At 41.6% G+C, this 13,977-nt stretch overlaps 1 pseudogene; it reads right to left on the bottom strand.

The window, feature by feature from the left end:
- SMNP (survival of motor neuron 1, telomeric pseudogene) lies at nucleotides 8,862-9,708 on the bottom strand (annotated as a pseudogene).

Raw genomic sequence — 13,977 nt, 5'->3', positions numbered from 1 at the left:
TCTGATTAGTAGAACAACTAAGGGTATTTTATTGGTTTCCTTGCCAGGGATACCACCCAAATAGAAAACACGGAGCACATTTCAAAGCTTCTGCTTTCTCTGCCAGGTAATAGTATCCATACCTTCCTGTTTATGCGGTCCCCTTCTGTAGAGGCGTTTCCAATTTTTTCCAGAGGTTGTTAAATTGCCTTTGGCTCTCAGCTTAGCCTCTTGGTCTTAATTTCCCCTTAATTAAAGAAGGGTAACCAATGTGGTCCCTAGGAGCTAGTGAGAGAAATATACGGCACAAACCAGAAAACACTCTGATAATGATAACTGGGCCCTATGGCTCTTAAATAACAGCACAAATAGTCTTCGACCTGAATGAGAAGGCTCCTTGAGTCCACTTTTATAACAATTCAGGGTGACTACTAGGGCACTCGGCAGTCCGCATGGAATGGGAGGTGCCCACAAGGAGTGGGAGATAGATGGTGAGTAAAGACAACGTTATTTGCTCATTTTCCCCTTAATCATGTAGTCATGTCTCCCACCCCATGCAGTCCCCACCACAGAGTTCTGAGGCTTCAAAAGGGTAGAAAAGGATAAATCCAGGCCATTAAAAGAAAATAATCAAAGCTATTGAAAAGATAAAACAAATGAGTCGCACTAAAAGGGCCGTCTGTGCAAGTAACAAGGTTGAAATACTGATACTGATTTCCTAGCCGAACAGCATTCCTCACACATGTGGTTTGTGTATCCGTGTCTGGGTGGGTGGTCTGGTGAGAAGTGCTAAACGCAGCAAGATGGCTTAGTTTTTGAGCAGTGGAGGGAAGCTTTGGGACAGGCTCAGCCCGTGGCATCTATAGTCCCTGCAACATAAAGAGGCTTTCCTTTTGCTTTGTTCCAGGATGGAAAGTTTTAACTTGGCTTATTCATTTAAATGTGAGTCTCTATTCTGCACAGAACCAATCAGAGGGTAGGAGTGTGTGTGTGTGTGTGTGTGTGTGTGTGTGTGTGTGTGTGTGTGTGTCTGTGTGTGTGTATGAACCTTCTTGTCTCTCGCCACCCCAGCCCTAGGGGATGGGATGTGTGGCATAGAATGTATAACTCTTCATTTGTTGGAATGTATTCCCTGGGTGCTAAGCACCTATTAACATCTCTTTTGAAAGGGACGCTGTTTTAAATAACACCTCGGTCTAGCTAGGACAGGAAATAGCATTAAATTAAAGGTACACACGAATACGGTCCACAAGCAATCTAAATAAAGGTGGACTCCCCCAAAAGCACATCTATACTAATGAGAATGCCAAATGAAGCGCGCTTAGTTCAAAGGCGGAGACTTCTTAAGGGAAGCTTCTTTTATTCAGGAAACACGATGCCCGACGATGGCTTTTGAGAGACACAAATCATTGCCAACTCACATCTGAAGACAGGCTGCTTCATGAATATCCCTCAGAATTGTTAGATGTCGGGAGTTTTGACTTTGAATCAGTTGGGGGATAAATCATTGTTTTCCAAATTACAATACTTATTTGTTTCCATGTTTATTATCTGTCTCCCCCACTAGAACAGAAGCACCTGAGGGCAAGAAGTTTGGTTTGTTCACTGCTGATTCCAGGACCTAGAACAAGTCCAAGACATACGAGACACCTCTATTTATCAAATGAAAATGTGGGAGCATTTTGTGGAACATGAACCTCTTTTGACATTTCATGAGAAATGGTTTTGCGTTTAAGTTTGGAAAAATTGCCCAGTATATGACCCTCTTGGCAATTCATGACGTACTAAAATATTAAATCTTGGAAAGCCACATGTTCCACCAATAGTCAAACTTGTTTAACTTTATTTAATGCAATATTTCCCAAACAGTATGTAACACAATAGTAGTTATGCAAGATAATAATAGCTGTTTGGCATTTAAAATAATGTTTCTTTATCAAAATAGTTTTTATTTTATTTTATTGTTTTTTTATGAGACGGAGTCTGGCTCAGTCACCCAGGCTGGAGTGCAGTGGCGCGATCTCGGCTCACTGCAAGTACCACCTGCCGTGTTCACGCCATTCTCCTGCCTCAGCCTCCCAAGTAGCTGGGACTACAGGTGCCCGCCACCACGCCTGGCTAATTTTTTGTTGTATTTTTAGTACAGACGGGGTTTCACCGTGTTAGCCAGGATGGTCTTGATCTCCTGACCTTGTGATCCGCCTGCCTCTGCCTCCCAAAGTGCTGAAATTACAGGCCTGAGCCACCGCGCCCAGCCTCAAAATCGTTTTTAAACTGTATTTCATTCTTCAAGGTTTATAACATAGTTTGGGTAGCACAGTTTCAGAGAAGGACAACACGGCTATTACTATCTCTAGAAGTGGTTTTCTGGATTAGCTAACCATGTAACTTTTTGGCCAAACTGGAATTTTTTTTTTTTTTTTTTTTTTTTTTTTACATACAGGATTTCTCTACGTTGCCAGGGCTGTAGTGCAGTAGCTATTCACAGGCACATAATAACATGCTATGGTCTTGAACTCCTAGGCTTAAGTGAACCTCCCGCTTTGGTCTCAGAAGTAGTTGGGACTACAGGTCCATACCACTAGATCTGGCAAACTGGAACATTTTTGAGAAGGAAATGGGACACTATTAATAATCATCCCAGGACAACATGAATAAATCAAAGCTGTCTTTGGCAAATCAGGGCATGTGGTCACTGTAGTTTCGAGGAAAACACTTTGGGACATGTGGAACTGAAAGTATACCTTCAGATTTCTCTTTCCATCACTTTTATCATATGCACTTATGATGCATATGGTTTGGTTGGGCTGTGTAGGGTAGAAAAAATATCTTTCTTCACCCATTGCAAGGTTCATGGCTGACACCCCTACATTAAAAATAGATTAACAAGAGAGAAGCAGAGCAGATTCAACCAAAGTTTTGTGTGACATGGGAGCCATTAGAAATGAAGGTCCAAGAGACCCAGAGGAAGCTCCATTTTTATGCTTAACTTTGATGAAGAATGGACAGTCGTACGGAAGTATCCATAAAGGCGGTATGACCTAATGGTAATAAACTGGGGGCACTTAGCAAGGCCTGATTGTTCAGATTCTTCTGACCTCAGGGTATAGGGCAGGACTCCTTTGGAATGAGGATCTTTTTGACCTCCTTTCAGGTGAGGTAAGTCAGAAATTTTTTAGAAGGACTCTCGCCTTGTTGACCAGGCTGGAGTGCAGTGGCCTGATCTTGGCTCACTGCAACCTCCGCCTCCCGGATTCAAGTGATTCTCCTGCCTCAACCTCCTGAATAGCTGGGATTACAGGCGTCTGCCACCACGCCCGGCTAACTTTTTGTATTTTTAGTAGAGACGAGGTTTCACCATGTTGGCCAGGCTGGTGTTGAACTCCTGACCTCAGGTGATCCACCTGCCTCGGCCTCCCAAAGTGCTGGGATTACAAGCATGAGCCACCACGCCCAGCACAGAAAAATTTTTAAATGACCAATCTTCATGGGAGAAATGTGGCAAAAAGAGTGCTCTTTCTGCTTCTGAGTTTTGTCAGTTTCCTTCAGTTTAAAATACTCAGTATGCCAAGGTGCCATATTTTGGGATATTGTGTTCTGAACCTTGACAGCTGCTGCTTTGTGGTAACAATTGAGCATCTCCCTCATATTAAGGGTAGGCCCACAGGATCCAGGGTTTAAAGGGCGTTGTCAGTGTTGCTGAAGAGGCTTTGCAGGTGATGTGGTCTCCAAGCCAGCCCTTCCTTCCTCACCCCCGCCCTTGTGTTAGCCTATCAGTTGAACAGGTGAATAGGCCGGTATTGAACATCAGTCCTGCAAGGAAGAAGGGCGCATTCCATATTTGGGGTCTCTGGCCCCATTTCCTGAGCCTGTTGCATGTTGAGGTTGTGTTTGTTTTCCTCAAACTTGACACCTTTGTTTGAGATGCTACCTCTTCATTGTCACCTGCCAAGTCATTCTGGCTGCCGCTGCCATGTCCAGGGTGGAATTGCTCAGCTGGCAGGTCCTCTCCCTGTTAGAGCATGTTCTGGAACTTTGTAGGTTTTCACTGTGTCTCCAAGTCCTACTACCTGATACCCTTTGATATTTTGGTGATTCCAAGTCGTATGGGCACAATTCCTAGCGTAGACCAAATGCTCAAAAAATGATGAACCGATTAAATAAATGGCCGTAAATAAATATCTTCCTTGGCTTGCAAGTAAGTTGCTACCTTGATGCCAATTCTCTGCTGCCTCTTTCCTTAAAAGTGTGTCTTATTCTGCTACTGTATTAAAGGTAGTATAACATTAGAGGCAGAAAGATTTGGTTTTGAATGCCAGGTCTGTCACTCCTAGCCATATAACCTTAAAACAACATACTTTCCCACACTTTGGTTTTCTCATTTGTGAGATGAGATGAACAATGGACCTCTGTTTAAGGTGATTGTTAAAATTAGATGTTTGTAGCACACTTAGCACACTGTGCCTGGTCCACAGTAAAGTGCTTAATAAATGGTAGTCATGATGCTGTTGGAGTCTGATGAAACAATTCTCTATTCTCTAGTTGGTGGAGAATTTTGCCAATATGTAGGATTACACTGGTGCTGTTTGCCATTCAGCCCCGAGTGTCTTCAGCCTATTGTGATCATTGCCCTTCCTCAGGTGCACATTCTTGCAGGGCAGTCATCAGCTATGTAACTGACTGCTGCTCCTTCAAAGCTGTTTTCAGCCCATTGGAATGAAAGGGAGCCAGGTCTCTTGCCTCAGAGCTGGGCCACATAGGACTGATAGAGTTGAACCCATTTCCACCTGATGAGCTCAATTGCTAGAGGTAACACTGGTGAAGCTGAGGTCATAGGTTCAAGCCCCTTTTCAACCCACTGGTTTGCCCCCTTGCATGACTACACACTTCCTGAGCCTACACAAACATGTCATGAATAGTGCCCTGGATCATAGGAAGGACAGTGTGAGAGCACGCCCTTTCAAACATGGTTGTATAGTGCCTTCTGGAGAAGGGTGGGTATGCAGTATGAGCATCACTGTCATCTTTATGCAGCAGTGCCTTACACCTTTGGTGAGTGGTATTTGCGTGGGAAGCCATTCTCTAGAGAGTGTTGGGCATTCACCGGAGTAAGCCCAAGTTGTGATCTTGGTTAGCCAGACGTTCTACTCATTTATTTACCATGTACAAGACCTTAGAATGATGTCACTTTTTCTTAAGGCACATATACCACATAGAAATGGTCATTTTATTGTATAGTCTGTGATTTTATTTATAGCAAGCATCTCAGTAACCTTTATTTCACCATTATACTCTTAAAAGCCATATCACAGTTTTGAAAGGGATGTGGCTAGCCACATCATCTTATAGAGGATACAAATGTAGCCCTTTGCTATGTTGAAATGCAAAGAAATGCTAATGTAGTCACTATTATTCTCCAAATTATTTTTTTCTCTTAAATATTGTGTGATGTGTTAGTTTCCTATTGTTGTAACAAATTGCCATAAACTTTGTGGCTTAAAATAACACAGATTTATTTTCTTACAACTTCAGGGGTCAGAAGTGTAAAGTGAGTTTCACTGGGTTAAAATCAAACTGTCAACAAGGCTGCATTTCTTCCAGTGTCTTTTCTGGGGGAGAATCCATTTCTCTACCTTTTTCATCTTCTAGAGGCCACCTGCATTCCTTGGCTCATGGCCCTTCCTCTATCTTCAAAGCTAGAAGCATAGCTTCTTCCACTCTCTCTGTCTGAACTGTGTCTGTCTTCCATCATTTTTTTTTCCCCTGAGGCAGGGTCTCGCTCTGTCACCCAGGCTAGAATGCAGTGGCGTGATCACAGCTCACTGTAGTCTCGACTTCCTGGGTTCAAGCGATCCTCCCACCTCAGCCTTCCTAGTAGCTGGGACTATAAGCATGCACCACCACACCCCGCTAATTTATTTTTTGTAGATATAGGGTCTTGCCATGTTGCCCAAGCTGGTCTTGAACTTCTGGCCTCAAGCCATTCTCCTGCCTTGGCCTTCCAAAGTGTTGGGATTGCAGGCCATGAGCCACCATGCAGTCTTTCTTTCATCTTCTAATGAAACTTGAATTATCTTGGGACCACACAGATAATCTAGGAACATTTCCCTAGCTCAAAATCCTTAACTTTGCTCATTTACCAGGTACTGTAACATATTCACAGGTTCTAGGGAGTAGAAAGTAGTCATCTTTGGGGAACCATTATTATGCCTCACAGGTAGGGAGGTGCCAGCTTTGAAATCTCCATCCTTCAGAATGTTTAAGTAAAGTCTATTTAAATATCTAAGCAGAACTTATTTGGCCCACATTAAAATTAAAGCAATTTGCTGCTAGTTCCAGTTATTCATAGTAACATAATTCATGATGATGACTGTGGTGGCAATTTCTTCCGAAGTTGGAGACAGATCCACAGTAAGACATCTTAAAAGACTCATGTTTTAGCCATGGTAATGGGAATCATTCGTGAGATATTTACTGAGTGCCTACCATGTGCCGACCACTATCCTGAGGACCCTGTGAAAATATAGCTGCTGTGTCCAGAGTATTTCCTTTCCATTTTGCTGGTAGTAGAATCTCTTCACTCCTGAGCAACAATGTCATCATGTGGTTAGAACTTCTTTGAAGCTATATGGAAATCCTTAACTGGCAGACAGACTGAACACCATTTCTGGGCTCCCAGCCTCCTTATTCCCATTACAGATGGGACACTTTTTAATTTGATCTGAATTTCATAGGCTTTTTAGAGAGACCTGAATCAATGGTTCAACTTAAAGCTATGCACAGCGAGCAGCCTGGAGCACCAGCCCAGCTAAGTGGGTCCCAAAGTCGATGTATAGTTCCTTTTTGCTGCTCTGGCTTGGAGAATAAAGATTAAAAGCTGATAATCCCAGCTTCATCTTAAAGCACTCAATTCAGTGTTTTCCATATGCTGAGCTGTGGTCTGGTTTCATCACCTAAGGAGCTTTTACAAACTACTCCTCTTTGAGAGGTTCTGAGTCAGTCGTTTTGCATGAGGCCTTGGATACTGGCATCTTCAAATGCTCCCCAGATTATTCTAATATGCAGTCAAGGTGGGAGTGTAAAAAATAAAGTCCTGGTTCCCACTGCCAGGGATCCTTATTCAGTAAGTCCTACTGAATTGTGAACGTTCCTTTGGTGATTCTAGCGTGCAGCTATGTTTGGGGGCTGCCATCCTAGCAACAATCTTTTGGCACTTTTAGCTATCAGGATTCTGTTTTCCTTGTCACAAATGTAGATTTCTGAGGGCTGTCTCCATTCCAGGCTTTCTGACCCAGACTCTGGGGGCTGTCCCTAGAAAGCTGCAGGCTTAACACACATGCTTCAGGTAATTCTTATCAGAGAGTTGTAGGAAACATTGTGTAGTGGAGTGCTACAAAGAACTTAAAGCTGTGCCTTTACTTACTTAGAGCAAACTAACCCGCATTCTCAGCTCCAGCATTTGGCTGATTTTCCCTTGTGGCCAGTATTCCTGAGGCTGGGTTGGGAGTGTATGAAGGGCAAGGTTATATGCTGGTGGCATGGAATGTTTTGGTCCCTGATTGATTCTCCTCAGCCTTTCTGTGTGTTGATGGCTGCCTGGATAGTAGATATAGTTGCCTGTTAGGTTGTCTGGTAAGTTATCAATAAAAAAAGATGAAGAAGTCCTCTAAAGCACTGTAGATAAGAAAAAGTCAAATCAAATAAAACTCAATCTGGACAACAGTAAACCAGAAGAATGCACCAATCGAATTTTCTCTGAGGGAGACAACTATTGGCACTGAAAGCTTTGGTCTGTCCTGATTCAGCAAACCCACACCAAGTATAACTTTTTAAAGTTTCTTTTACATAATCAAATTTGTAGCAATTCTAGCGTAAGAAGAAAACTGTTTATTCTTGTTTCAGTGTTGCCTTTTTAATTTAAAAATATATATATACTTTTAAACATACAGAAAATAGGAAAAAATAGCACATTGAACACCCATATACACACCAGTTAGATTCATTAACATTTTGCCATATATGCTTCATGCGCATTTTGCAAAACCATTTTAAAACATTTTAAGGGACACTATAACACCTCATTCTTAAATCAGTATGCAAATGAAGGCATTCTTTTATAAACTACAACATCCTTCTCACAGCTCATAAAATTAGCAATAATGGTCTAGTATTCAAAATCTAGTCCATATTCAAATTTTCTCAGCCCCCTTAGGTTTAATCAAAGATTCCACATTGCATTAGGTTATGATGTCTCTTAAGTAGCTTTTAATCTGGAAGAGTTACCCGTTCCACCTTTTTTTATTTTTATTTTTGGCAACACTGATATTTTGAAGCAATGAGGCCAGTTATCTTCTATAACATTCTATATTCTGGATCTGTCTGATCGTTTCTTTAGTGGTGTCATTTAACTTGTTGCTCTATCCCTAGCATCTCCTGCAAACAGGAAATTAGATCTAAAGGCCTGATTAAATTTCAGTTAAAGTTTTTTGACCAGAGCACTTCACAGGTCATAGAGTGTACCAGTGCAGTATGCGTAGGTCATACCGCATCACAGGTCAGAAAACATGTCTGTTTTTTCTGACTACTAGTGATGTAAAATGTCATCAGAGCCTACGGAACTCTTTATTGTAAAAGTATATTTTTTCCACACAACCAACCAGTAAGTTTTTGGTGAGGTGATACTTTGATACCATGAGAATTCTAGTAGGGATGTAGCTCAACCTTTTATCTAATAGTTTTGGTATCAGAATGTCTTTAATACTGTTTTACATTAACCTTTCAACTTTTTAACATTTTAAATTTAAAAATATTCCAAGACATTTGCTTTCCACAAACCATAAAATTTTACAAAAGTAAGATTCACTTTTATAATAATGGCATATTTACTCATTAATTGGAACGTGAGCACTCTCCCTCTTTTTAATTTTGCTTGAGCCCTGTATAATAGCCAGTATGATAGCCACTTAATGTACCAAGAGATTAGCATACTTCATAAAACATTAACATCATCAAGAAAATCTAGACCTGTGGGAGGTGGTGGGGGAATTTTTGGTGGTCCAGAAGGAAATGGAGGCAGCAAGCATGAGGGGAAGCAGGGTGGTGTGGGTGGTGGGCTACTGAATTTGAGACCTGACCTGGCTTTCGTGGTCTCAGAATTCCATGGAGTAGCTTCTGACCTGATGCTAAATGGTTTGTTTCCAGGACCTGGAGTTCTCACTTTCATCCATTGAATCTTGACTTTCATTTTCATTCTTTTGAGCATTCTGTCCTATATTATTAGCTACAGAGGTTGAAGAAAGTAGATCAGACAGATTTGCTCCTCTCTATTTCCATATCCAGTGTAAATCACAACACAGCTTTCTCTCTTCATATCAACTGAAGCAATGGTAGCAGAGTAAATGCAGCTGTCTTCTGACCAAATGGCAGGACATTTGTCCCCAACTTTCCACTACTTCAAGAAAGTTACAGTATTCTTTTTTTGGCCTTTATGCTTCTTAGCAGGTTTTCTATTAGGCATGCTTTTTGGTTTATCTGAGGTTTCACAAATGTCATCATTCTTTAGAGCCTGTTTAAATGAAGCCACAGCTTTATCATCCACTTCTATCAGTGCTGTAGCATCCCAAATGTCAGAAACGTCACTCTGGCCTATGCTGCACTAGAAATGCACCAAATCTTCCTGCTCCAGGATGCCACAGCCACTGCTGGCACTGCCCATTGCCATCGTAAGCCTACTGCCAGTTTTACCTTTCAATGAATGCATTATTTCCTAAATACTAAGCACAGTCAAAAATTGTTTCCCTGAGATGATATAGCCTTCTCCTTTGGTGGCATATATTAACTTTGTTAGTCTCAATATGACTAACAGTTTGGATTTTCAAGTTCAAGAATGTTTGTGCAGAGTCATCTGAGTCCTCCCTACAGGTGGTTTTTTTCAGCACATTTTACTTAGTCAAATCATCAAACTATTGATCATGTCCCCACACCTAACCAATTTATAAAACTCAAAGCCATCTGCGTGGCACGGACTCTCCGTAGTCTTGATTGCAGAGTTGATTTATGACCTAAAGAAAGAGAGATTTTAGCTTAGCTTTTGGATATATTCCCTTCTGTTGATCAAAGATGATGGTGGTTTTCAGTAAGTTGACTGAGCAGGAATAGAACTTTTTAAGTCATCTCAGTTTTATAGGATTCAAGGCATTTCTTTTCCAAGGCTGATTATTAATTTTGCATTGAAATCCCTCATAACAATAAGCCTGTTGCATAGAAACAAATTTTTGATGAATCATCAAATCATCAAATATTTTCTCTTTCTTCAAAATGAAGGGCATCCATGCTAAGTTACTTCTGATTTAAAGATATTTTAAAAGGATCATCAAACATCTCCACTTGATGGCTATACTTTGTAAGAAAGACATTTTCTCTGATAAAGTGTAATTGCTACCTTCTTCTCTGAGCATTTCTTTATGAAAAGGTGGTTGGTTTCACTCCTTGAGTGATCCCTAAGTTGATTTAACTCTGGGTCAGTTTGTCAATTTTAGTTGGTAACAAATGGGGAGGAAGGCAGATTTCCTGAAGGGCATAAAAATAAGATATTCATTTTAAAATCCCCTCCTCTTTCTCTTTGAACTGATTTGGTACACCAGGAAGGTGAGTAGAACTGATATATAGCATGGAAACCTGAATAATTTTCACAAACCATGTGGAAGCCTTTCTTTTGTCTTAATGGAGGAATTTTGAGGATGAACCCAATTGGAAGGTGTAGGCAAATTCATAATTCCTTGGAATTTTCTTGCTTGTCTGATGGCAAACTTAGGATGAAATGTAATCCTTCATTGTGACAAACATGCCTACTGTTTGGCAGATTTGCTTTTTCATCCTTCTATGTGGCTTTTAATTTTGTATGCTACTAACCTTCCTGAATGTAGGTCCTTTACACTGCCTATTATTTCAATAGCATGGTATAAATTACAGTTAAGCCAATAAATAATTGTTTCTCCTTCTGGCACGTCCATCCCACAGTTATTCTTTCGTTAGTTGTTGACTGAAGTGATTTGCCAGACTGCAAACTAGCTCTGAGGATCCCAGGTTGAAGAAGAGGCTCAATACAGAGCTTACAGCTAGAGAGGTATTAGACAAAGAAACCAAAGGTTATAAGACAGGTGGACATGTGGTATAAGAGAGTTGAGAGGACAGTGTAAGGATTTGAATGGAGTTCTACAGAGCACCAAAGATGCTTGTAACTGAACCTGTACAGGAAGGCATTCTAGGCAGAGGGAACAGTAGGGAAAAAGAGAAAAGTATACAGCATTTGGGGCAACTACATGTAGTTTGGTATGACTTAAAGGCGGAGTGCAAGTGGTAGGAAAGCAGGAGATAAAATTGGAGAAATAGGCAGAGACCACATGATGTCAGACCTTGTTGCTAGACTAAGGAACTCGTGCTTGATTTAGTGGATAAATGGGCAGCTATAGTGGGGGTGGAGGTTGGAATAGCATGAACAGCTTTGCATTGTGAAGTAGGACCCCATACTTCTCCTCCAGAGAGTATCTACTGTAAGTATCCTATGATCCCAAGCTTCACACTTTTAACAAGAATCTTTGCATGTGTATCTCACTGAGTTTTCATTACATTTTTATTATATTGGATTATCTATTGCTGTGTAACAAATTGCCCTCAAAAGTCAGCAGCTTAAAACAATACATATTTATTATGTCACAGTTTCTGTGTAATCTAGATATGGCTTGGCTAGATCTTGCAGCTCAGGGCCTTTCCTATGGATGAAACCAAGTTACTGGTTCAACTGGGGCATGGTGTTTCCAAGTTCGCTTAGTGATTGTTGGCAGAATTCAGTTTTATCATGGGCTGTTGGACTGAGGGCCCCAGTTCCTTGCTGGCAGTTGGCTGAAGGACACGCTCAGTTTCTTGCCACCTGGGCTTCCCAAACTGCCAGATTGCTTTATTAAAGCCAGTAAGAGAGTCTGCTGGCCAGGCGTGGTGGCTCACGCCTGTAATCCCAGTAGTTTGGGAGGCCGAGGTGGGCGGATCACGAGGTCAAGAAATCGAGACCACCCTGGCCAACATGGTGAAACCCCGTTTCTACTAAAAATATAAAAATTGGGTGGATGTGGTGGCACGCGCCTATAGCCCCAGCTACTCAGGAGGCTGAGGCAGGAGAATCACTTGAACCTGGGAGGCAGAGGTTGCAGTGAGCCGAGATCGCGCCACTGCATTCCAGCCTGGTGACAGAGAAAGACTCTGTCTCAAAAATAAAAAAAAAAGTCTGCTAGAAAGATGGAAGTAATAGTCTTTTATAACCTAATCATGGAAATAATATCCCATCACTTTTGCCATATTGTATTTATTGGAAGCTAGTCACGATGTCCTGCGCTCACTCAAGTAGAGGTTCCCTGTGTTGCCAGGTCAGTAGGAGGAATCTAGAATGTCATCTGGATGGCTGTCCACTTTGAAGGCTGGCCTTCCTCCCTTTAGGAGTTTGGTGGTTGGATAAGGAATTATATTGTTTCTTGAACCAAAAGTGCTGGATACCTGAAGGCACTTCCTGATATCCCAGGCACTTGGACAAACCCAAGGAAGCAGGGGTACTTGTGGAAATTTTGTTCCTCAGTGGGGCTTCCTTCTCCTCCCCTGAAGGGAAATATGGCAGAGCTCTGAGGCCTGATGGGGCAGGAAGAAGAGATTATATAGAGAAAAAGTCTCAGCTGGGATTTTTTTAGACTGCTTGTTTATGGCTTCACCAATTCAACTTTCTGGTTGTAAATCATGGCCATTTGTCTTTCCCTCAGGGATGGTTTTGTTTTTGGTTTTGGGTTTTTTTTGTTTGTTTGTTTTTGTTTTTGTTTGAGACAGGGTCTTGTTCTTTTGACCAGGCTGGAGTGCAATGGTGTGATCTCAGCTCACTACAACCTCCGCCTCCCTGGTTCAAGCAATTCTCCTGCCTCAGTCTCCTGAGTAGTTGGGACTATAGGCACCCACCACCACGCCTAGCTAAGTTTTGTATTTTTAGTGCAGACGGGGTTGTAGATACAGGATTTCACCATGTTGGCCAGGCTTGGTCTCGAACTCCTGACCTCAAGTGATCTGCCCAACTCGGCCTCCCAAAGTGTTAGGATTATGGGTATGAGCCACCGTGCCTGGCCTCTGGGATGTTTTTAATGGCTGGAGAGCAACCCACCTCCTGACTGGCTGTTTGGAGGCCACATTTCAACAACATATATTCCCTCCCAGCACTGAGGTGGCAGATTCTGTCCAGGTTTCTCTCTTATAACAGGATATTCCATGCAACTATATATTTCATCTGTAAAACTTTCCACTGGGATTATGACTTTCTTTCAAATGTAACTGACCCTGCCCTGGCATTGTTTTCATACAACTGTGTGTCATTGCCTGGCCTGGAAAAGATGCCACTATCCAAATCTGCTCTTGCAGACAAAACTAAAATTTCATTTCCAAAGATATTTATCCATTCAATAACATTTATCGAATGCCTACAATAGATCATTCTTGGTGCTAATCAGGGAGAATATAGCACAGTAGCTACCCTCTAGGAGTTTACAGACTAGTGTATTTGAGGTTGATGTGTCTCATTTTATATAATCTTTTCCCTCACACAAACATTGCATCTAGTAAATGGTTCCAAGATACTTACAAATATTAATAGCAGTGTCACATTGTTCCTCAAAATGTCAAAAAATTTATATGATCTTATCTGTCCTGCACTTTAATGCTATGGTGTATATTTAATAAAGGATTGAATTTGGTCGATGTCAAGAGTGACGTGAGGAGACCCTACAAGATAAGTGAGTCTGGAGGAGTGTGAGTGTGCATAGCAGATTCCAGACCCAGCCTCCCGGTGATTTCTTGTTCATCTTGTTCCATCTCAGCTTCCCACTTTGGTCAAATCACCCCCAATTGAATGAGCATGGCAAAAATATTTCCCAAAAAGACATTTTGAACTTGCGAAAAAAGACATTTTGAACT

The sequence above is a fragment of the Homo sapiens genome, chromosome 9, assembly GCF_000001405.40.
Source record: "Homo sapiens chromosome 9, GRCh38.p14 Primary Assembly".
Lineage (NCBI taxonomy): Eukaryota > Metazoa > Chordata > Mammalia > Primates > Hominidae > Homo > Homo sapiens.
Note: the sequence above shows the minus strand (reverse complement) of the source record. Positions and strands in the feature narration are given on the sequence as shown.